We start from the raw sequence: 23,502 nt of genomic DNA, 5'->3' as shown, positions 1-23,502 counted from the left end.
CATGATGCTGAGTATAACCCATAATTCTTTTTTTGAGATGGAGTCTTGCTCTGTCGCCTAGGCTGGAGTGCAGTGGCGCGATCTTGGCTCACTGCAACCTCCCCGTCCTGGGTTCAAGCAATTCTCCTCCCTCTGCCTCCCAAGAAGCTGGGATTACAGGGGCTCACCACCATGCCCGGCTAATATTTTTTGTATTTTTAGTAGAGACGGGGTTTCATCATGTTGGCCAGGCTGTTCTTGAACTCCTGACCTCAAGTAATCCACCTGCCTCGGCCTCCCAAAGTGCTGGGATTACAGGCGTGAGCCACTGCTCCCGGCCTAACCCATAATTCTTAATGTCTATGTATGAACAGACCTTCACCTGTGGTGGTCAGTTTCTTTGGCAGTTTCCAGAATTTCACTATTGCAAATAGCAAAATAATGCATCTTTTTGTATGTGAATCTCACAATATCTGTTTTATTAAGATAGTAAAGAAGACTTTTTTACTACAATAGGGTTTTGCAGTAGGGAGAGAGATCTGGCTCAATTCCTTCACAATGCCTTTCTGAGAGAAGATAATCCTCAATCCCATTCTTGCCCAACAAGCATTTGTTATTAAGTTTTTCAACACTTTCATCACTTGGTAGGGAGGTCTCCATTCAAGATATGTGTCAGGGAACATATCAAAAGCAGCCATTCCCCTTTCCCCTTCCCCATGTTTTTCACTTAAGTATAAGAGATGGTGAGCTCTGTATTGGTAGGGATGTTCATCTTACGTGCCAGACTGACCTAGCACAGGTGTTTGTTTGTTTGTTTGTATTGGAGTTTTGCTCTCGTTGCCTAGGCCGGAGTGCAGTGGTGCCATCTCAGCTCACTGCAACCTCCACCTCCCAGGTTCAAGCGATTCTCATGCCTTGGCCTCTCGAGTAGCTGGGATTACAGGTGCACACCACCACGCTCAGCAAATTTTTGTATCTTTAGTAGAGATGGGGTTTCACCATGTTGGCCAGGCTGGTCTTGAACTCCTGACCTCAGATGACCCACCCACCTTGGCCTCCCAAAGTGCTGGGATTACAGGTGTGAGCCACCATGCCGGGCCGCATAGGTTCTTAATAAATATCTATTGAATGAATTAACCATCTTTAAAGGTTTACAAGTACCCACTGCCCCCCGTGCCCCACCAGTCTCACTGCCTGACTCCAAGTCTCCTACACTAGATTTACAATGTGACTTCAGACTCGGTCTCTTTATTGGGATGGGTTCTGGCACAGCCTTAAAACCTAGACTTTTCTTTTGCAGCACAAGTGCATAAATGAAGCCTGGCTGGAGGTCCTTGTCCTTGGGCCATGCACACTTCTGTGTCTCCATTATAGTATCTGCCAAACATGGTCAGCTACCCTGATTCTTCATCTTTGTGAACTTTGACCTTCAAGTCCTGTGGATCCACACCTGGCCCTCTGGGAATCTGTGGTCAGGCCTGCTACAACTGCTCATGAAAGTAGTTCATTCATTTGGAGCCAATTTCATGAGGGCAGACAGCATGTCTGACCAATTAGTGTAAGCTCAGCATAGTGCTGGGCACATAGTTTATAGAGCCAATTAATACATCCATTTTTGTCAGGTGCATCTGCTTCTGCTGGACTTGTCTGTCTGTTTTGGTCTTCTTGCCCTCCTGGTAGCAAGACTCTTGGTATAATCCTGACATCCAAGCCCTGGGATGGAATGAAACTCCAGACACTGACCTGGAGCCATCATTAATACAACAGGCTGTCATTAATATGTGTGACCTTGCATTTACATTTTTATAGGAATACTTCTAAGCACTTTTTTTATGGTTTGCTGACATTCACAATCCCATTTTTGGGATGAAGTGATTAAACCTTCTGGGTTTGAGGAGATTTCTCAGCAGTGGATGGAATTATGAACTCTTAAATCTAAAGAAGCATCAGAGATAATTTATCCTGGAAAAAAGTCAACGTTCTTCATTCTTCCTTGATGTTTCTAGTCAAATCAGTGAATTCTTCTGATTGTTTTCTTTGGGCCGAGAATTGTTTTTTTTTTGAGCAGAGACTTAGGGGAGTGCACTGCTGTCTAGATAACATTCTCATAGGCAAATAGCCTTGGTGTGTCTGGCATCGTGAGCAGTGAGTGGGGATTTTCCATCTGAAGACAGACAAAAAGAAAGTAGAGTGAGGGAGGTGAGCAGGGCTCTGGATCGTCCATGGAGACCCTGACATCCAGGAAACTTTATTTCCAAGGTTACCCAACCCAAATCGGCTGGCATGCTGGCTCCCACTGTTTGATTTTAATCACCCCTAGCTTAGAGAAACTATTCTGTAAGTTTAACGCATATTTATCTTGCTGAATGCTTAATGAACTGAACTTTCCTTGTTCAGTTGTAATAATTCACTAAACCAACCTTTTCTATTACTAAGCAAACTGCTTTAATGATTCTTATCTTTTTGGATCTGTTTGGGAGAGGAAGAAAAAGGAGACAGAAAGATACCATTACTGCTGCCAACCGTACTCTGTGAAGGAATAAGCCTTAAAGCTACTGCATTAGTAGTTTAACTGAGGGGAGGGTGCAAAGCAGATGTAACATAGCTGGACCATGGGAGAAAAGTAGAGATCTCTCCCTCCTGCAGTTTCCTGGTGTCTCAGGAGAAAGCTGGACTCTCCTCTCAGCTATTCCTCTCTTCATTCCATGCACAATCTAAGCCATGGTCTTTTTCCTTGTCTGCAACTTCAGTCAGAAGGCTTTTGATTTTCTTTATTATTCCGATCTAGAACCTCTGTCCTACTCTATTTGTTCCAGATTACCCAATTCGATTCCTAAAACACAATTCTCTTCCATCCCCCATGTTCTTGTATAACCCTAAGCAAAGGGAATGGGGAACTACTAGGGTACTTTTTAATTCTAGAGAGTATGAGATACCTGGGTCCAAGAAATTTTGACCTAAACATGAAGCAGGAAAAGAAATGGAACCATTAAGATGAAGTTAAGCTCTAAAGCTTCTTACCTTTTTCGGTATTTCCACAGTGGAGTAAACCGTATTTGCTGGATCTTCCTTTAGGATTGTTCTCTTTTAAAAACAAACAACAAACAAAAGAAATCATCACCCACCTCCTGAATCACATAGACAAGGCCAGAGAGACATTCAGAATCCAGAGAGGGGAAAGCAGAGATGGGAGGAGATGTGAGAGGAAAAGGAGGGTTCTGGAACAGGGAAGGGAGGTAGGAAGTTCTCTTGTTGGTGACTGCTATTATAATAAATTTTGATAACTTTTTTCAGGAAGCCATTACATTATTTTTAAACTGTACTGTGTTAAAATGAATTTCAAAAATATTATATATATATGTGTGTGTATATATATATATATATATATATATATATATATATATATAGAGAGAGAGAGAGAGAGAGAGAGAGAGAGAGAGAGAGAGAGAGAGATCTCTAGAGAAGTCTTCTGATACCATGATTCAAACATCCTGTCAAAGTCACACTCTTCTACCCACTGCCTTATGCAAAAGGAATCTGGCCTTTTGTGTGGCCGTTATGAACTGTGGAGGGGAGCAGGTGATTTCACAGACCACAGCATGAGCATTGTGAGTCAGAACCAGGTGCTCCAGAGACCACCAGCTTCTTCTGCACAGAAGAGAATCCATGAAGACTTGGAGGAGGCACAGGTGCATTGAGTTTTAAGTCTATATATCCTCACTCCCCTCTTCATTCCCATGTTGTCCAAACCCATGGAAAAACCTCACAAGGAGAGCCTCAGAGACAGGATCAGTTCTCAGGAAAGATGAGAAGGGACTCACATTAGTGTGAGGGATTGTGTCGTACTCTGTGTTCTCTCCAGAATGGGGGCATATGTTAGGAGTTTCCCGACAAATGTCCACTCTCTTCTTCTCTTCAATGTACTCTAAAAGCAAGTTGGGAGAGAATCAAAGCCACCTCTCCAACCACTCACCACTTCCACTGGCCCACCATTTCTCCTGGATGACCCACTTAGGGTGACCAACCAGCCGAGTTTCCTTGTAATGGAAGGGTTTTCAGGATAGAGGACTTTCAGTGTTAAAACTGGGAAAATCTAAACAAATCAGGATGAATTGGCCACCCCCAACATTTCACTTCCTGATCTCTCCATCAAGGTGGTCAAAGTGGGAAGTAGAGAAAGTCAAAGACACTTTCAGAGGGGCTTCCAGGAGGGAAGGGAGATTTCAAAGTCTGCAAGTCATACCCAACTGATGTTAGGTCCCTCCCCATCACCCACATGGACAGTGGGAGCCCAGAAGACCAATCAGCAGGGTTTAGGAACACAGGATGGGGTGCAACTGGAGAGAGACAGGGAAAGGCTTCCCCAGGAGCCATGTGTCTAGTGGGCAGTAAAGCGAGGTCTTGGGTTGATCCTGTGGAAAGGGTGTGGGTGGTTTGTGGGCTCTGACAGGGATAGGAAGGATTGACTAGAGGATGCTGGTCTGTGGGGACCTCAGAGTTGGAGGCCATCACCTCCCAGGTCAGGGGAGCAGAGTCAGCAGTGTGGGGCCTGTATCAACAGAAGAGCCACATCAGGATGTCCCTCTGGGAGAAGGAGAGAAGTGAGCCCTGGAAAGGGAACTGGGAGAACCGTGTCCTTGGGAAAGACCTCCAGCACTTTCTCTACTCCAGAACTAAGGAGCACAGGCTGACTGTATGCTTCTTGAGGGCAGAGACTGTGGCTTCTTCATCTCTGCATCTTCAACACCTCATGCCAAGTCTGGCACACAGCTCTATATGTGCTTGTTGAATCAGTGAAGGAGAAAAACATGAATGTGGGTGAGGACAAAAATAGTACACGCTCTACCTTCTTGTCTCTCTCTCTTCAGAAACCAAAGAAATAGCCCCAGTACAAAGAGACTGAGCAGGAGGGGCACCAACAGGAGACACAGGAGGACCATGGAGGAATCTGGGTCATCAGCAGCACCTTCAGAGAATGGGTGGAGGCACAGGGAAGGGAGAAAAGTCAGCTCAGGAAAACGACCCAGGTCTTGGAGCACCTGCCACCTTCCTCCCAGCCTGGTGACCACCCAGCGGCCTCCAGTTTCCATACAGTGTCTGTTCCCATGGGGGCTAGGAGCTGAAGAAGGTGTAGGACCTGGGCAGAGTCTCCTGTGGAGAGGGGAGAGGCAGTCACCTTCACAGAGCTTCCTGGCAAGGATGGGGCTTGAGAAGTTTCTGCTGACAGGGTTCCTGGCAACGCAGATGAAGGTCATATCACTTTCTCCCCATCTCCAGGAGATGGGGAGGATGGACCCATTATGGGACTCATTGGCTGCTTGCCCCAGGGCCTTCCAGGTATAAATCACATCCTCTTCCCCATGTTCCATGCAGCATGTCAGATTGGTCACACAGGTGCCATTCTTATTGCTCTGCAGACCCATGGTGACTTTAGGCTTTGACAGGTGCTCTGTGAGAGGAAGGAAAACCAGAGGTGGAAACTCTGCCTATAGCTCTCCATTCTCTGAATTATCCTTGGATACCTTGGACCTGAATCTCCCTGGGAGCTCCAGACTGGAGAGAAAGCAGTAATTCAGAGCAGAATCCTCATTCGTATCTGGAAAAGAGAACTACCTAGGTCTGCTTTACCATAGCTATATAATAATAATAACAATAACAACAATAGAAATAATAGAAATAATAATGCAATAAGAATATAACTGTCATTTACTAAGCATAGCCACATGGCAAGCACTGTGATAACGCATGTTAGATGTCCGCTAATATTATCTGTTCTAGAGGTTCCCTAGTCTCTGTCCTCAGGCTTCCCTTTACTCTCTATGAGAGTTCACTTTACTCTCTAGGAGAAAATTGTGTTGGAGTAGCCCTTCTGGCCCCCTTCTCTACTCTGTGCTCACTCCCCTGCCTCAGAGAATGAGTAGTTGGTTCATTGGTGAGATGGTAAGAGTCTGACATTCATCATTTACCTTTCTCTACTCATGGGTTTGAGACGTTAAAGGTTGCAGTTAAAATGTGTTTTGCCCTTTTTCTTCCTCCCCTGACTAGTTAGCCTGCAGAATACATATCTTCTGTTCCCTTCAACCATGTCTATATGGAAGACACACCTGGATCAGGTGCAGTGCCTACCTCCTACAAGCAAGTCTGGAGGCCCATCCCCTAAGGTTCCTGATACTGTGGCTCAGTGAGTGAAGCAGCTATTCTTCTTGAAGAAGTTTGAGTCATTGTTTCATAATTTTAACTTCCCTGGATGAGTGCCAAGGTCTAGAATTGAAAGGAAGCATTTCTCCTGTCTAGATTTACCAGAAATATGCTGATATTTTAATCCCCTCCTTCTTGCATCTATTTATCAATTGGTTGTAATCTGTAGAGAAAGAGATGTGATCGATATTTTGCCCAAAAATCTTCCTAAGGTAGGCATTTCTTTCCTCCCCACTACAGATATGGAAACTAAGACTTGAAGAAATTAAATAACTCGGCTAAGGTCATGTGACTAAATAAAGAAGCCAGCATTTGACCTTGATCTATGCGATGGCCACTGCACATATCAGCCATCCACTGCACCACGCTGCTTCTTACAACATCTCTGAGTAGGCAGGGACCTCAGGGGTCAGCTACATCTATTTCATTCATGCAGAAGTCCCCTCTCCCACATTCTTGCCAAGTGTTTATTCAGCCTCTGCTTAAACATCTCTCATGTCAAGGAGCTCACCACCTCACCAAGGCAGCCATCCACCATTGGAACTGATTTTGCTCACCGTAGACATGCAGCACGTACTCCTGGGTGGAGGGCTGCTGGAGTGATGAGCTGTATATCCCCACATAGTAGATCCCTGAGTCATTCTTCTTCAGTTTGCTGAGCTTCAGGGAGTAGCCTCCATCTGGGAAGTCTACTCTCTCCCTATTACGATTTTGGGTCACTATGATAGTGCCCCCTTCTGGCTGTATGGTGACAAGAGGGGTTGTGTTGAAGGTCCAGACAATAGAGTCAACTTGCTTTACTTTGGACTTCAGGGGGAAAGTCACGGCCCCACCAACGGAACCGACCAGCTCTTTCACGGGTCCAGAGGCTGCTGACCCTATAAACACAGAGAACCATAAAATAAGCCTGATTCCCTGTCCTTGTCACCAATTACTCACCCCCTTTGGGTCCTGGAGAGATCTGAGAAACCCACTCAGTCCAACACAACAACCTCCTGGAAAAGCCTTTGGAACCTCATATAGAGGTCCCTCACATGTTACCCTATTATGTAAGTGCTCACATGGAAGCATTATATTAGAAATTTATGTATCACAACAATCTTAGTTCACTCCCAGAGAGTATGACTTATAAAAAATCATCACTGATTATGTGGTTGTAGGTGAAAAACAGTTAAGAATGTCTGCTGAAGAAACTTCCAGAAGTGGCCAGCTGAGCATTACCAGTAAACAGATGTGGGGAGTAAGTCATCTTATTCTTACCTATTAAACTTGAGAGACAGACTCTGGGAATAACACAGAGCAGTGAGAGAATTTAGTTTGGGACTAGCAGTTTAAAAGCATAAATTATAATCTTGATTAACACTTTTGTTTTTGAGACAGAGTCTCACTCTGTTGCCCAGGCGGGATTGCAGTGGCACGATCTCAGCTCACTACAACCTCCACGTCCTGGGTTCAAGTGATTGTCTTGCCTCAGAGTGATTGTCTTTCTTCAGCCTCCTGAGTAGCTGGGAGTCCAGGTGTGTGCCATCTTACCTAGCTAATTTTTGTGTTTTTAGTAGAGGTGGGGTTTTCACCATGTTGGCCAGGCTGATCTTGAACTCCTGACCTCAAGTGATCTGCCCGCCTCTGCCTCCCAAAGTGCTGGATTGCAGGCATGAGCCACCACACCCAGCCTTGTTTAACTCTTAAAACAACTTTTTGAAGAAACATTCTTTATATCCCTATCTTACGGATCAGGAATGTGAGGCACAGTGGGGGTAAATGACTTACTCAAGCCACCTAGTAAGAGGCAGAGTACACACCAAAACCCACAGGGTCGAGACCTTGAAGGGCATATTTTATAGATGAGAAAACTAAATAGTAGAAATGATAAGAACTTATTCAAGGCTGATAGAAATACAAAAACTAAGACTAAATCCTTAAAGGTGAGGCAGGTTAGGTAGTCAAGGAAGTAACAGTGTTCTCAGGAGGCAGTAACTCTGGTGACCCTACAGTCAATACAATAAGCCTCAGCATTCACATTGTAATTGAGCTCATTTAAGCAAAGCTATCTTCAGTGAGGACTTTCCGCTGTAGAGAGCATGCGGATTTTGATTTTACTTGTTCTCAAACTGACCCTTTGCTCATTATAATAGTAAAAAACACACCCATGGGTGGAGATTTAAGATGCTAATGAGACACGAGATTTATGAAGAAGCATGTATAGCTACTGTGCACGTCCACCCAGAGGACCACCAAGAACATGGTTACTAGTAACACCTCTTCCCACCCTCTTATGAATAATCATGTAAGACTCCCATAAAGGGGGTCTCCCCAGTGCCAGTCTTTGCTGTCTCATCCTTATGGGCAGCCCACCCTGAATTTTCCTTCTCTCAGAATGTACTGTCTTTTCTGCACTTAACTGTCAAAATATTCTTATTCTTTTGCAATCAATTACCCTATGCTGTATTTCCTTTGCTGTGTATCTCTCATATAAATTCTTTTAAACTAAGTAGACAAGAACTGAGGTCTCACATCAGCTGTCAACAAAGGTGTTCTCCTTAAAAGTACAAAACCCAAAGTTATTTCCCCTTCTGCCTCTTAACATAAAGTGTCAGGGTGAAATTTTTAAATGGAATTTTTATTAATTCAGTCATGAAAAGCACAAATGAAAGAAGCAAAGCCAACAAAACAGCCAAGCTATAGGATCCTGACAGTTCTAATGATGCTACTGCAAGGCTACATGGTGACTTTTGTGGTTCCTGTGTACTTTTGACCTTGTTGGTCCTTCTTCCATAAGAAATATTAAAAATCATATTTCATGACTGTGTTGGTATAAAATGAATGTGATCCGGGCTGGATTCATTATATATTCATTGTTATTGTTATTGCTATATTCATTTCTCTTCTGATTTTAAAAGAAATTAAAATTAAAACTATCGTGGGCCTTATGTACAGTGTCTCCTGTGTGTAATTGGCCCTGTGAGACTGACCAAGCATCCAGGCTCTGTTTCATTTCACAGCCTGCTCTCTTAGACACAATCTTTTCTTCTACTCCAGTACTGATGTAACTCATGCCTTTTCTAGTAAAAGGACAAATTCCTATACAGACATATCCAGATATCAAAAATTGCTTCATTAGAGATTTATTTCTTTGGTCCCTGTTAAAATCAAATATCTTGGCAAGGGTTTCCAAATTATAAGAGTTGTCATGTATTAAATGTTTATTCTGCACCAAACGTTTATTGTAAAGAGTATGCCTAACACTCAAAGCAATCCTGCAAATTAGGCATTTTGACCCTTTTACACAAGGATCAGCAACCTATAACCCATAGGCTAAATCTGGTCCACTGCCTGTTTTTGTAAATACAATTGTACTGGAACACAGCCAGGCTCTTTCATTTACATATTGTCTATGGATCCTTTTTCACTACAAAGGCTGAGTTAAATAATTGTGACCATGATTTATTGTCTGTAAAGCCTAAAATATTTATTCTCTGGCCCTTTTCAGAAAAAATTTGCTAACTCCTGACTTCATGAGAAAATTGAGATTCAAACAACGACAACAACAAATAACAACAGCTAAGTAACTTATCCAAGGGCACAAAGCTAGCAGGTGACGATTTGAGGATTTAACCCAATGTCTCTCCAGCTCTGGGACCTGGACTGTTTTCACTATGGCTCAATTTGAAGGCCCCCTGGCGTTTGTACCAGCTCCAGCCTTCTCCCTCACTCCCCTTCTCCATCCCCCTAAGGGACTCTAGTGTCAATTTCAAAGCCCTTGGGTGCCATTGGACCATAATTTCCCTTCTTGTCCTCTGGTGACCTTCCCTCAAGCATAAACTGCCCTACCAGTGCCCCAGGGTGAGGAAATCTGATGCTACCAAATGGTGACCCACTCCCTTGCTTACAGATCTGAAGTCTCTGCCAACGTTTTGCTAAATTTATCTCCAAAGTACTGATTCCTCTTCTTGGGTATGTATCTTTTAGGAGCTGATTTCTCTTTTCAAACATTTTTCCCTCTAAAATGTATCAGTTGGTACATATATACTTTGGATTACTCAAGCTTTTATTAAATCATCCCATTAAGTAATCTGATTTTTTAAAAAAACTGTTCTCTATGCTTCCTTAATATTAAGGCCGGGATGGTTTTTCGACTGCTCTCTTTGTTCATCTTTAGGAGTGTCAAGTCCAAATAGTGCCAGGAAATGTTACAGACAAAATCAATTTTATTCTGAAATTTTGATCAGTTAATGCATTTGTTCTTTTACTTCAACAGCAGAGATGAAAGGGGTGAATCTTATGAAGTCAAATAAAGATTGGGTATCATTTGGCCCCAAATGGGTACAGTTTCTACACTTAGGGCAACCTTCAAGTAATTTCATTTTCACATTTCATTTTGAAGCTATAATTTAAGGTGAGGAAGTGGCAAAACTACAAAGATGTGGCTTTAGTTGCTAGCATGCAACTACTCTTTTCACATGCAATTACTCTTTTCACGCTTCCACACACGTAGTGCTGTATTCTCAGGGTAAATGCCAAGGGACATGACTCGTGTGGGATATAAGAAAATGTTGCCAAACGCATTGTTTCTTGTTAGAATACAGTTTGAGAGTGAGACAGGGCAAATTACCAACATGAGCCTATAGATGGAGTATATTGTTCTATCTTAAATGTATCTTCAGGGTGAGACAAGGGGTAACGAAAGAAAACAGTAGCTCCATGCCATTCTCGGAATGTGGGTTCAGAGGACAGGGGCAAGGTTGGAGATTCCTAACCAGTTTTGCTTCTGCTTCTCAGCTGACTACGAAAAGGGATCCAGAAACAAGACACTTCTTTTTTCAGTTGTCCAAGGCTGAACTGAAGCTCTTCTTTCTGTGATGGTTTTGCACCTGCAGTGTGTGACCCTATAGAGTTTTACCATATCTAAGCAGGTCACACTTGTCAGATTCAGTCATTCCTTCTTTTAACAAGAATTTATTTAGTTCTCATTGTTTAGGAGCTGAGGGTATAACTGGGGAGCAAGACAGTCATAATTCTGGCACTTACGGAGTTGGTAGATAGTCATTAAATAAATAACTACATGTGTTATGGAAAGGGAAGATGCTGGAATTGGTGGCTTATGCCTGTAATCCCAGCACTTTGGGAGGCTGAAGCAGGAGGATCACTTGAGGTCAGGAGTTTGAGACCAGGCTGGGCAACATAGCCAGACCTTGTCTTTACAAAAAATGAAAAAATTAGTTGGGCGTGGTGGCATTCACCTGTGGTCCCAGATACTCGAGAGGCTGAGGTGGGAGGATTCCTTGAACCCAGAAGGTGGAGGCTGCAGTGAGCCGTGATCGTGCCACTGCACTCCACCCTGGATGACAGAGTGAGACCCTGGAGACAGAGTGGCTACCAACCTCTACCCACAAGACTCGAGAGGATTGGGTCCCATGATATTCATCCACTCTCCTCAGGTGCCAACCTTCTACCTGAGTCAGTGCAGTGAAGGTTGTAACCTGCCTCTTTTACATCCATTTTACCCCTTCCTCATTCCGTACAAGCCAAATGGTTTGGGCTACCCAGTTCAGGTGGTAGCCCTTCTCATGTACAGTAATTAGTTCAGGGGTGTCACATGACATGGGTTGACTGCGTAAGGCCAGGATGACAATGTATTGCTGTGGAAAGATATGCAGCTGGGACTGCCACTCACATGTGGCCACCACACAAACATCCCGGCCTCCTCCCTCCCCTGATCCTCAGCTCACTTTCTACCTCACACTCTTGTTTGTGCTTTATCCTCCTCTCTGTTCATGTAAATCTTATTCAAACCCTGTATCTAATTCAAAGCTCTTCCCTGAGGAAGCCTCCAACTCTTCCTCTCACACATCCCCTGAAAATTTACCACTAATTTCACTTCATTGACACTTTAAATTCTCCAGAAAGAAATATCCTCCCTTGGTGGTCGCTGCATATATCATTTTGCTGTGGATTAGCCAATGATTGGTCCACAGGATTAGAGGCCAGATCACCCAATGATGGGGTCACCAAGTCCTGCCCAGAGAGGGGTAGAGGTCGCTTCTCCTCCTCCAGCATGTGGCAGAGGGAGAAAGGGCTCTGGCCTAACTGGGAGTCAGGGTCCATTCTGGGTCCATTCTGCCGCCTCCGTAGTCATAACTCCAGCAGCAAACACCTGGTGTCACTCTGTGGTTTGTAAGCCAGATCAGTGGGCATCCTCTCTCCTGATCCTTAGAACAGCCCCGTGAGATACAGCCTAAGCCCTGCTTTATAAATTGGGATACTGGAGTTTTGAGAAGTGGGGTGACTTTCCTAAAGCCCCAATGAAGAAATGTTGGAAGAGGGAAGAGGAGTTAGTTCCTCTGCCTCAGTGGTCTGTGTTGTTTCCAATATTGCTTCACCACTTACCACTTCGAGTTTTGGTTTCTGAACCCTCATACGAGAAATAAATAACAACATTTAGTTTCCAGGCATTTGGGGAAGATGAAGTGTGAATACAGATTTGAAAGCATTTTGAGAAGTACAGAGTAGCCTAACGAGAAGGTGGGATGCGGGTGACAAGGTCAGGAAATGAGAGCATGAGAGTCAGGCCTTGAGGAGGCTTCCCATCTTTTGGTTTTATTTCTGCACAGATAGCTAAAAATGAGAAACAGAGATATCCCAAAACACCTTTGGATGGCTTCTCAGCAAAGTAAGCCAGAAAGTTAAGACGGCCATGAGCATTCCCCACTACATCCCCCGCCTGCCTTTGAAGGTGGAGGGAGCTGGGGCAGGAGACCCTTTGTCTTTTGCCCCAGCCAAGACTCAGATGTCTTTGCATCAGGAGGAGTCAGCTGTGAGATTTCCTCTGTAACAGGAAGGGATAACAGGTCCTGCCCTTTGTCACCTTCCTTTCCTCTTGGTTGTCACCTCCTCCCCTGTCCTGTCCCCTAGAGTCTCAAGAGTTGAGTGGAGGGAAGGAGCCCGATTATGAGGAAGATACATTATCAGTGCAGCCAGAACCAAGGGATGGTGATAAAGCAGGAAGACTTTGGGGGAGGGGAGAGTGGAAAAGCCTGCCTCCTGCTTGCCAACCCCGTCCCCAAGCACTTCTCTGAACACTTGGTGCCTCTGTCCAAATGTAGCAGTGTGTTGTGGCACTCTCCTCATGAAAACCATGAACCAGAGCATCTCAGAGCTTGGAGGAGTCTTAGGGATTACTTAGTCCAATCCCATTTCACAGATAAGAAGGCTGATATTCAGAAGGTTATGGTGATGTTTCCCAAACCAGTGGAAGGCCAGGATTAGGAGCCAAGGCTCCTAAGGCAGGATTTCACAGACTGTGCCCCATGGCGCCACCTTTGGAGGCTGTGGCAGTGCCTCAGTGTATTTCTTGGGAGCTCAGGAGGAGGTTTAAGGGGTGAGCGTAGGATAGGAGGCTATGGGACTTGCTTCCGTTAGGCTTCAACTCTATACATTGGAGTCATTTATTTGTTTTTTTCTGTGTAAAATTTCATTCCATAAAAGGAAACCATGGATTTAAAAAAAAAGGCAAAAAAAACCCAAAGTGGTTTGAAATCTATTGCACTTTACTCAAGTCCCCCTTAACGAATGTACTCACGAAAGAGCAGTGTAATTCAATGCCACACAAGGCAGCCACAGACAGAGGCTTGAAAGTTTCCCGCTTCACCACACACCTTTCCCATCACTCTAGCCCTAACCGACCACATTCACATTTAGGTTGCTCACCACTCTGCTCCTCACTCATCTCCTGCCCCCTCTTCCTTGTTTCTTCTGGTTCTTTTCAACACTCTCCCAATTCCCCTCACCCACTTTTTTGTTTTCTTTTTATTGATTGTCTCCTTGACACTACTGTATCATCAAATCATTGGCAGATTACTGTGCCCATTTTTCAGATGAGAATACTGAGGCCATGAGAACTGCTTCATGGACCCTCTGAGTTTAGCCAGGGTGGCCCCCTGTTGGTACACCCATATCCCAGAAACAGAGCTACCCGTTCTTCTCGGGCCTTTCCAGTTTCTACCTCAGATTTATGTACCTGGAGAGGGAAGAAACCCCAACTGGTACTCCCTGAGGAAGATTCAGCTCAAATGCACATGTAGTGAGCATCTCTTTGGTGCCAGGTCCAGTGATAGACGGCTTGTTATGATTAAAAGAGCACTAGCTTTCTAGCTTTCTAAACTCAATCTCTGGCTACCTTATAAATGCTGTGTTATCTTGCCCAAGAAGCGTGATCTCTCTGCTGAGCCTAAGTTTCCTCAACTGTAAAACAGGGATAATGATATCTGTCTTACAGACTCATGAGGAGGTGGTATGAAAAACACCTGCGATGTAGTAACTTAATAAATGGTGATTATTTTAATAATTATTTTGCATTTGATATGTCATTTAAAATGTCACAATAATTCTGCAACTTAGATTTCATTCTCTGTTACACACCTGAGAAGAGCAAGGCTCAGAAGGGAAGAGTAATTTGCCTACAATAATACAGCTACTAAGTCAAACCAAGGATGCGCTTGTCCAGTGCCAGGATTTGTTCCACTGCCCTGCCCACTGGAAGTTCCAGGACAATCTCTGTCTCCTTTCAGCCTCAGGAGGTACACTACACAGGCTGCCTCTGGAGGAGGGCAGAGGGGGACCTGCATGGCAGTTTTTCATACTTGTGCTCTTTCGCTGACTGATTTCAGATGGACACCTGTAGCTTTCAAAGTCTCTATAATTTTCCCCAACCCCTCCACCTTATCTCCCTCAAGTTCTATTTCTGCTCATCATTTCCGTTCAGGGAGTTTTTTTTTTGTTTTTTTTTTTTAAAGTGAGGGCCTATTCCAGAACCACCTGGTTAGACCCAGGTACCTCTCAAAAATACAAACTTCTGATGAATTCAAAGTGGGTAAGAGTCTGCTGATGCTGACCACTTAGCGATGCAGGGGAAAATATTGGGGGCACCAGCTGCCTGCGTGGTCTTGGGCAGATCACTCCAGGCAGGCTCAGATACACATAATGAAGCAGTTATGTGAAGTCCTTATAGGGGGACCTCATGGTAGTACTCCATGAGATTGATGACAGAAGAGATATTTCTCACTTATAGGGCTCCTGATCCTTTCTGAGAGCCCTTAGGATAGAAAAATCTTCAAAGACTAGAATACCAGTGACAGGTGGAGAACTGTCCTCTGTCCTCCATGGGATTAAACATAAAGTGCCTATGGTATGAGTTGGTTCTCTAAGTAGAGACTGATTACATTGCTTGAGTAAGGAAAGAAAATTCAAGTGATTCTTTCCATTTATATTACTGTTATGCATAACCAATTTTATAAATACATTTATAAGTAAATAAATACATACCTGTATAGTATCATCTTGTTCTTAAAGTTGCCCTCAAAAGGAGAGAAGGCTAGAAGATAAAGTTTCTGAGGCCCAGGAAAACTTTAACATTCCTTATCTAACTCATGGCAGAACCTGGATTAGAAAAATGGTCTCTGATACCCAGCACCACTTCTTTCAGCTCCTTCATCCCTGGGACAGTCAACAGGGGAGTCAGTTCCCAGAGCCATTTTTCCCCCTCTCTCTAGTCTCTTCCTGACCTGAGAATCAGAGATCAGAGATTGATAAAAAGCAAATGTTAGATGAGAACACAGAGCCTCCCGAGTTGAGCCAGAGGCCCAGAGTGGAACAAGAAACCTGGAACTATTCAGGATGGGGTAGACAGGAGAGTGGAAGAGAATCCGGCCGGACTCACCTGTGAGCTGCCAAAGGATATAGATGAGGGTGAGGCATGTTGGGGAACCAGCCATATTGCTCTCTGGAAGTCAGCCACTGAAATGAAGCCACTTCCCTCTTAGGTATTACTCAGACCTCTTCCCCAGCTGATATTTAAAGAAGCAGGAGGGGTCACGCCGCAGACATGTGAGATTGAGTAATTGCTAAATTATTTTCAGAGTGAATAGAGCATTTTACCTTGCCACCAGCAATCTATGAGAGATCTATTTGCTCCCCATCTTCATCAGCATTTGGTATATTCCCATTTTATATTTTAGCTGTTTTAATAGGTGCTGTAGTGATACCTCATTGTGGCTTTAATTTGCATTTCCCTAAAGCCTAATAATGTTGAACATCTTTTCATGTGCTTATTTGCCATCTATATATCCATATCCTCCTTGGTGAAATGTCTATTTATGTCTTTTGTCCATTTTATAATCAGATTCTTTATTTTTTTTACTGTTGAGCTTTGACAATTCCTTATATGTTCCAAGTATAAGAGTCATTTGTCAGATATGTGGTTTACAAATATTTTCTCTTGGTCTGTAGCCTGTCTTTTCATCTTCTTAACGGGGTCTTTGGCAGAGCAAAAATTTTAATTTTGATGAAATTCAACTTATCAGTTTTTTTTCTACCCACACTAGGGTCCAAAGGTTTTCTCCTGAAAGTTTTATAGTTTTATGTTTTACATTTAAATGTATGATCCTGTTTTAATGTAAGGTGTGAAGTTTAGGTTGAGATTCACCTAAATATATTGTCTATATTCATTGAGAACCATATCAGGTAATATGGTTGACAGTTTTTTTTTGCTTTCGACACTTGAAAAGTGTCATGACACTCCTCCCCTCCATGGTTTCCAGTGAGAAATCAGCCATCATTTAAATTGTTTTCCCTATAGGTAATGTGTCATTTTTCTCTAGCTGTTTTAAAAGTTTTTTGTTTGCCTTTGGTTTTCAGAAGTATGATTACAATGTGCGTGTTTTTTTTTCTTCTGCCTGTGGGTGTTCAATTGTTCTACTACCATGTGATGGAAAAGATGATCTTTCCTACATTGAATTACTTTTGTATCTTTATCAAAAATCAGCACTTATACTTGTGTGGGTATATTCTGGAGCTATCTATTCTATTTAACTGACTTACATAATGTAATTATTTATATATCAGAGCTTAAGTTTGCCATGTTATTATTTTCTCTTTGTTCTTCTGGGCTTTTGTTTGTTTATTTTGTTCCTCTGTTTCACTTTCCTGGCCATCCTGTGTGTTACTGGAATATTTTTTATAATTCCATTTTGATTTATCTATAATGTATCTTTTTGAAGAGTTTTTTTACTGGTTGCTGTACATATTGCATTTTACATACATAACTTTTGATCTACCTATCAGTGTTGACATTTTACCAGTTGAACTAGGTATAGAAAACTTACCTATATTAGGTTTCTTTATTAGTCTATCTTTATACTTGTCTTAAATATATTGTCTATATTCATTGAGAACCATATCGGTAAGATTATAAGTTTTGCTTCAATTGTTGAACATAATTCAGAACACTCAAGAGGAGAAGGACAATCCATTACATTTACCCATATTTTAACTCTTTTCATTGTTATTTCTTTATTTCTAATGTTTCAAGTTTCCTTCTTTTTATTTTTTTTTGGACGAAGTCTTGCTCTGTCATACAGGCTGGAGTGTAGTGGCATGATCTTGGCTCACTGCAATCTCCGCCTCCTGGGTTCAAGCGATTCTCCTGCCTCAGCCTCCTGAGTAGCTGGGACTACAGGCTCATGCCACCATGCCCACCTACTTTTTGTACTTTTAGTAGAGATCAGGTTTCGCCATGTTGGCCAGGCTAGTCTCAAACTCCTGACCTCAGGTGATCCACCAACTTTGGCCTCCCAAAGTGCTGGGATTACAGGTATGAGCCACCACACCCAGCCTTCAAGTTTTCTTCTTTAATCATTTCTTTCTGTTTCAAGATATTCTTTAGGAATTCTTTTATGATAAGCCTGCTGATAACAAATTATCTTAGTTTTCCTTCACCTGAGAATGTCTTGATTTAACCCTCATTCCTGGGTATAAAATTCTAGGTTGACAGTTTTTTTTCTTTCAACACTTGAAAAGTGTCATGACACTCCTCCCCTCCATGGTTTCCAGTGAGAAATCAGCCGTCATTTAAGTTGTTTTCCCTGTAGGTAATGTGTCATTTTTCTCTAGCTGTTTTAAAAGTTTTTTGTTTGTCTTTAGTTTTCAGAAGTGTGATTATAATGTGTCTTGGTGTGAATTTCTTTGGGTTTCTCTTATTTGTGATTCATTGAGTCTCTTGAATCTGTAGGTTTTTACCTTTTGCTAAGTTTGGGGAAATTTCATTATTTTTTGAATACTTTTTTTTCAGCCTCACATTCTCGCTTCTCTCCTAAAATTCTGATGACATGAATGTTATAAATCTTTTGTTTTTCTCCCACAGGGCTCTGAGGCTCCATTTTTTTTTTTTTTTTTTTTTTTTTTTGGCCTATTTTCACTCTGTTTTCAGATTGGGTATTTTCTATTGTTTATCTTCAAGTACACTGATTCTTTCCTTTTTCATCTCCATTTTGCAATTTTTTATTTTTTTATTTTTTCTGAGACAGAGTCTCACTCTGTTGCCCAGGCTGGAGTGCACGATCTCAGCTCACTGCAACCTCTGTCTCCTGGGCTCAAGCGATTCTCCTGCCTCAGCCTCCTAAGTAGCTGGGATTACTGGCACCCGCCACCACACCTGGCTAATTTTTATATTTTGGTAGCGACAGAGTTTTGCCATGTTGGCCAGGCTGGTCTTGTACTCTTGACCTCAGGTGATCCGCCCACCTTGGCCTCCCCAAGTGCTGGGATTGCCAGTATGAGCCACTGGCCCTGGCCTCCATTTTGCTATTAAGCTCATTAAACTCATTCAATTAGTTTTACCTTTCAGTCATTGTATTATTCAATTCTAAAATTTCCCTTTGGTTCTTCTTTATATCTTCTACTCTTTTTTTAAAGACTTTCTAGTTTTTTTGTTTATTTGTTTTAAATGTGTTCATAGCTGCTAGTTGAAGCATTTTTACTATGGTTTCTTTAAAATCCTTGTAAGATAATTCTAACGTCTGTGTTGTCTTGGTTTTGGTGTCTGTTGATTGCCTTTTGTTCATTCAAGTCAAGATTGTCCTGGTTCTTGTTATGATGAGTGATTTTTGACACAGTGATGATAAGGTAGGGGACCACATTACTGCTGAGCAGTGGTAAAAATCCAGACCCTCCATTTGGCCTTTTCTGACACCACCCAAAGCAAGAATTGGGAGGAGTGCCTCATTGCTTCAGGGAGGGAGTGCATGTTCAGTCTTCCTACTTAGCCTCTTCTGATGCCACCCCAGTGGGGAGTGGGGAGTGGGGAGGGATGATTCCTTACTGCCAAGGGGTGGGGTGGGGGGTTTAAATATAGGTTTTCCACTTGGCCTTTGCTGTTGGCGGGGGGGTGGTGTCCCATATTTCCACATGATGTTTGGCTAGAATATGGTGATTATTGTTTAAAGGCTTCTATTCCAGCAGTCCCCTTTCCAGTCTTTTGGCAGGAGAGAACAGAAAATCCTTGGGATTGGCGTTTCTAGATTATATTCTTATCTAGCACATGGCCTACAATACACAGGGGACAAAAAGAAAACACGGGTAACTCATTGTCATGTCATTCCTCATGTCCAGAGGCTCCTTGCCCCCCTTCATCTCTCAACTGTTTAGAATCTTCTTGTGTTTGTGTTTTATATATTATGTCCAGGATTTTTTTTTTAAAATTTGTAATTAGTGGCAAGAATAGAGATAAATTCACTCACTCCATCTTGTCTGTAATTTCTCATGTCTGATCACATGTTTTTATATCCATTCTCTCCACTGACTTGATTGAAATAATGGTCAAATCTTTTAAAAAAGACTTCCTGTCAAGTGGCAAAACGAATCCATGTGGACTTGAAAAACACAGTAATGATAGATAAAGCATTTTCAAATGTATTAAAATGTATGGCCTTGCTCAAAACTAAGGGAAAAATTTCTGTGAATGAGAAACAGTGCAGAAATCCACAGCACATGGAAAGGGAGGGCATATGTGCTAAAAGGAGCCTTGATACACAAATCCTGCAAATACAGGAAAAGAAAATTACACGCCAGCATCACTTATGAAGATAGTTGCAAAGATCCTAAATGACACTTTAGCAAATCAAAGCCGTTGGCATATAAAAACACACCATGACTAAATAGCATTTATCCCATGAATGTGAGAATGGGCCAATATTTCAAAAATTTATCAGCATAGTCCATCACATTGATTAAATGTAAAACAACATATGATCATCTCAGAAGACATAGTAAAAACTTTGATAAAAATATGGATTCATAATTTCAAAAATGTTTAGTAAACTTTGGCAAACATCATACTTAATGCTGAACCTTTAGAAGAAGTAGTATCAAAGTCAAGACTAAGACAAGGATTTCTCTAGTCACTGATAGTATTTATTAATTACCTGGTGTCTTGGCCAAAGCAATGAGACAAGAAAAGTAAAGAAGATGTAACTGGATTAGAAAGAGAGACAAATAATTGTTATTTTCAGACCCTATCACTGTGGATGTAGAAAATCCAAAGGAATCTGCAAACAGTGAGAACTAATAAGAGACTGAGCATAATGTCTGACCATAATTGTAAACAAGACATTTTTCTAACTTGGGTCACAGGTTGACAACTTGTTTACTAATATTGACCTTATTTTCTTAAGAGCCAGAGAGGTATTTTCCCCAAAGTTACACAGCATTTTATTAGCACAGCCAAGCCAGAAACTAAAATATTGTGATGACCTCAAACCCAGTAATGTTTCCATTATGAGGTATCACCCATTTGTGCACCATACTAGTACAAATGTGGCAATGGCAGAAATAGTAGTTTTAAAGTGCCATGATTATGAATCCTGAAAATCTTGGCAAACAGAATGAGGATGGAGATGAGATATCCTGTATAAATTGACCTAGAGGTGATTTTGGAGCAGATATTTCATTCTCATTCAAACAATTTTACTCTTTTTCCATGTCTCAGCTTTCCTTATTCCTGAAAATGACCAAGCCAAGATTTCTGGGAAGATATGGAGAGAAACTATTATGAAATGGAAAGGGGCCTGAGCTGGGTGGAATGAGATCAGTGAAAAGTCCTGGGGGTACTCCACCAAAAAAACATCAAAAGAAGAACTGAAAATGAAAGTAAAGCCTATGTTGAATTAGAAAGTGACTGCCTTTGTAAAATAAAATTTAATTAAAAGCATTTGGTAGTTAATCATTCCCTCTTTCTTGAGACATTTTGGCCCATGAGACTGTACTCTCTCTTGGTTCCTTCCTTCCCAAGTGATATGGTTTGGATATTTATTCCCTCCAAATCTCACATTGGAATGTGATCCCCAGTGTTGGAGATGGGGCCTAGTGGGAAGTGTTTGGGTCATGAGGGTGGATCCCTCATGAATGGCTTGTTGCCCTCCCCATAGTAATAAGTGAGATTTCGCCCTATTAGTTCATGTGAGAGCTGGTTGTTTAAAAGAGCCTGGTGCCTTCTCCCCTCTCTCTTTTTCTCCCTCTCTCACCATATGACATGCCTGCTCCTCTTCATTTTCTGCCATGATTGTAAGCTTCCTGAAGCCCTCACCAGAAGCTGAGCAGATACACGTGCCATTCTTGTACAGCTTGCAGAATCATGAGCCAAATAAACCTCTTTTCTTTATAAATTACCCAGTCTTGGGTATTCCTTTATAGCAATGGAAAATGTCTCTGGGTTCAGTCCTTAGACTTACTCATTTTTTAATCTATCCTGATTCCTTAGGTGATCTCATTCAGTCTCTTGGTTTGAAATACCAAATTTTATTTCCAACTGTAACCTTTTTCTTGAATTCAAGTCTTGTATATCCAGCTACCTACTCAGAATCTCCATTTGGATATTTAAAAGGCATCTAAAACTTCACATGTGCCAATCAAACTCCTGTTTGCCTACCTTCTACCTCCTCCTCCATCTGTGTTCTCCAACTCAGTAAACTGCAGCTCCAATCACTCAGGTTTTCAGGACAGAAAATTATAATTATCCATGACTCCCCTTTCTTATCCCCATATCCATCCATCAGAAAATTCTATTGACTTTGCCTTGGAAAAAATGCCTAGAACCTGATAACTTCTCATTGCCTTCACCACCTTCGCCACTACCATCTCTCACCTGCACTACTGCAACAGCCGCCTAACTAGTCTCCTTGCCTCTATCTTTGTCCCCTATAATGTATTTTTCACAGGCTACTAAAGTGATTCTTTAAACACATAAGTCAGATCATGTTGTTCCTCTGCTTGCCAGTTGTCTCCCATAGCTCTTTGAATAAAATACAAACTTCTTCCCAGGGCCTCCAAGACCCCATATGATGGTTCTTGGCTACCTTTTTAATGTCATCTCCCATCACTTTCCCCTGACGTATTCCACACCTGTCACACTAACCACCTCAATGTTCTTGAATATTCCAAGCACACTCCAAAGCTTTTGCACTAGAGGAGGGCCCTTCCCCAGATGACCATATGGCTATCTCTTTCTTGAGATCTACTCAGTGTCACCTATCAGACAGGGGCTCCTGTGCCCCTATAGAACATCACTCCCTGATCTTTTACTCTCTATCTCCTTACCCTGCCTTATTATTATTTTTTCCTTCTAGGATCTGCTACCCTAAAATCTAAGAAGCATCAGAAGAAGGACTTTGTCTGCTTTGTTTGCTGCCCTATCCCCAGTAACTAGAAGAGTGCCTGGTATATAGCAGACCTTCAATATGTATATCAAATGAGTAAGTGGGTGTCCTGAGCAATAAAAATTGAGTAATTATGAATGATATGCAGCATTTTCTTCTTTGTATTTGGAGAAGAAAATTAGGAGCACAAAACTGTGTGATTTCTCAGGCCCTCATGACTGCATCTTTTGTGAGATTGGTATGATGGTAGAGCAGAGTGTGGGGGAAAATTTAGAAACTCCAGAAAGTTGAGAGAAAATTTAGAAAGAATGCTTCTGCTTTTCTGGGGGTGGGGGGAGTTTGTGTCATCTCAAATTGAGAAACTGTTGTTGCTTATTTAAGCCACCCTTAACAGTACTGTAAACAACTAGTGTAGTTTTAAAAACAGCATTTCATGCAAATCAAAACCACAAGGAGATACTATCTCATGCCGGTTAGAATGGTGATCATTAAAAAGTCAGGAAACAACAGATGCTGGAGAGGATGTGGAGAAATAGGAATGCTTTTACACTGTTGGTGTGAGTGTAAGTTAGTGCAACCATTGTGGAAGACAGTGTGGCCATTCCTCAAGGAGCTAGAACCAGAAACACCATTTGACCCAACAATCCCATTACTGGGTATATACCCAAAGGATTATAAGTCATTCTACTATAAAGACACATGCACATGTTATGTTTATTGCAGCACTGTTCACAATAGCAAAGACTTGGAACCAACCCAAATGCCCATCAATGATAAGATTGGATAAACAAAACGTGGCACATACACACCATGGAATACTATGCAGCCATAAAAAAGGATG

General features: G+C 42.1%; 1 protein-coding gene and 1 long non-coding RNA gene across 14 annotated transcripts, besides 3 other annotated features; one reads left to right on the top strand and one right to left on the bottom strand.

Annotated features, from left to right (window-relative positions):
• Positions 1-427: 427 nt before the first annotated feature.
• Positions 428-16,192, bottom strand: SLAMF7 (SLAM family member 7). 13 transcript variants are annotated; one of them, XM_011509828.1, is made up of 7 exons: positions 15,893-16,002; positions 6,735-7,055; positions 5,117-5,428; positions 4,826-4,945; positions 3,801-3,904; positions 3,001-3,063; positions 428-2,143 (listed from the first exon to the last, which is right to left on the bottom strand). In XM_011509828.1, the coding sequence occupies exons 1-7, from the start codon at positions 15,945-15,947 to the stop codon at positions 2,072-2,074; spliced, it is 1,047 nt and encodes a 348-aa protein (XP_011508130.1). In that variant the 5' UTR covers positions 15,948-16,002; the 3' UTR covers positions 428-2,071. The 13 variants fall into 13 exon arrangements, with proteins under 13 accessions (XP_011508130.1, NP_067004.3, NP_001269524.1 ...); NM_021181.5 differs by having other exon boundaries at positions 5,156-5,428; NM_001282595.1 differs by lacking the exons at positions 6,735-7,055; positions 15,893-16,002 and adding an exon at positions 16,111-16,192 and having other exon boundaries at positions 5,156-5,428.
• Positions 3,427-3,486: a silencer, noted in NCBI's record as "silent region_1463". NCBI's record gives its function as "represses an Ori minimal core promoter by ATAC-STARR-seq in GM12878 lymphoblastoid cells {active_cell/tissue: GM12878}" and the evidence as "EXISTENCE:reporter gene assay evidence [ECO:0000049][PMID:35858748]".
• Positions 12,841-12,920: an enhancer, noted in NCBI's record as "active region_1952". NCBI's record gives its function as "activates an Ori minimal core promoter by ATAC-STARR-seq in GM12878 lymphoblastoid cells {active_cell/tissue: GM12878}" and the evidence as "EXISTENCE:reporter gene assay evidence [ECO:0000049][PMID:35858748]".
• Positions 16,090-21,217, top strand: LOC124904440 (uncharacterized). Its single transcript, XR_007066687.1, has 2 exons — positions 16,090-16,166; positions 20,996-21,217. It is a non-coding gene; the product is annotated as an uncharacterized LOC124904440 (long non-coding RNA).
• Positions 22,853-22,972: an enhancer, noted in NCBI's record as "active region_1951". NCBI's record gives its function as "activates an Ori minimal core promoter by ATAC-STARR-seq in GM12878 lymphoblastoid cells {active_cell/tissue: GM12878}" and the evidence as "EXISTENCE:reporter gene assay evidence [ECO:0000049][PMID:35858748]".

This window comes from Homo sapiens, chromosome 1 (assembly GCF_000001405.40).
Source record: "Homo sapiens chromosome 1, GRCh38.p14 Primary Assembly".
NCBI classification, from domain to species: Eukaryota; Metazoa; Chordata; class Mammalia; order Primates; family Hominidae; genus Homo; species Homo sapiens.
The sequence above is the reverse complement of the archived record's forward strand: the minus strand, read 5'-3'. Positions and strand labels throughout refer to the sequence as shown.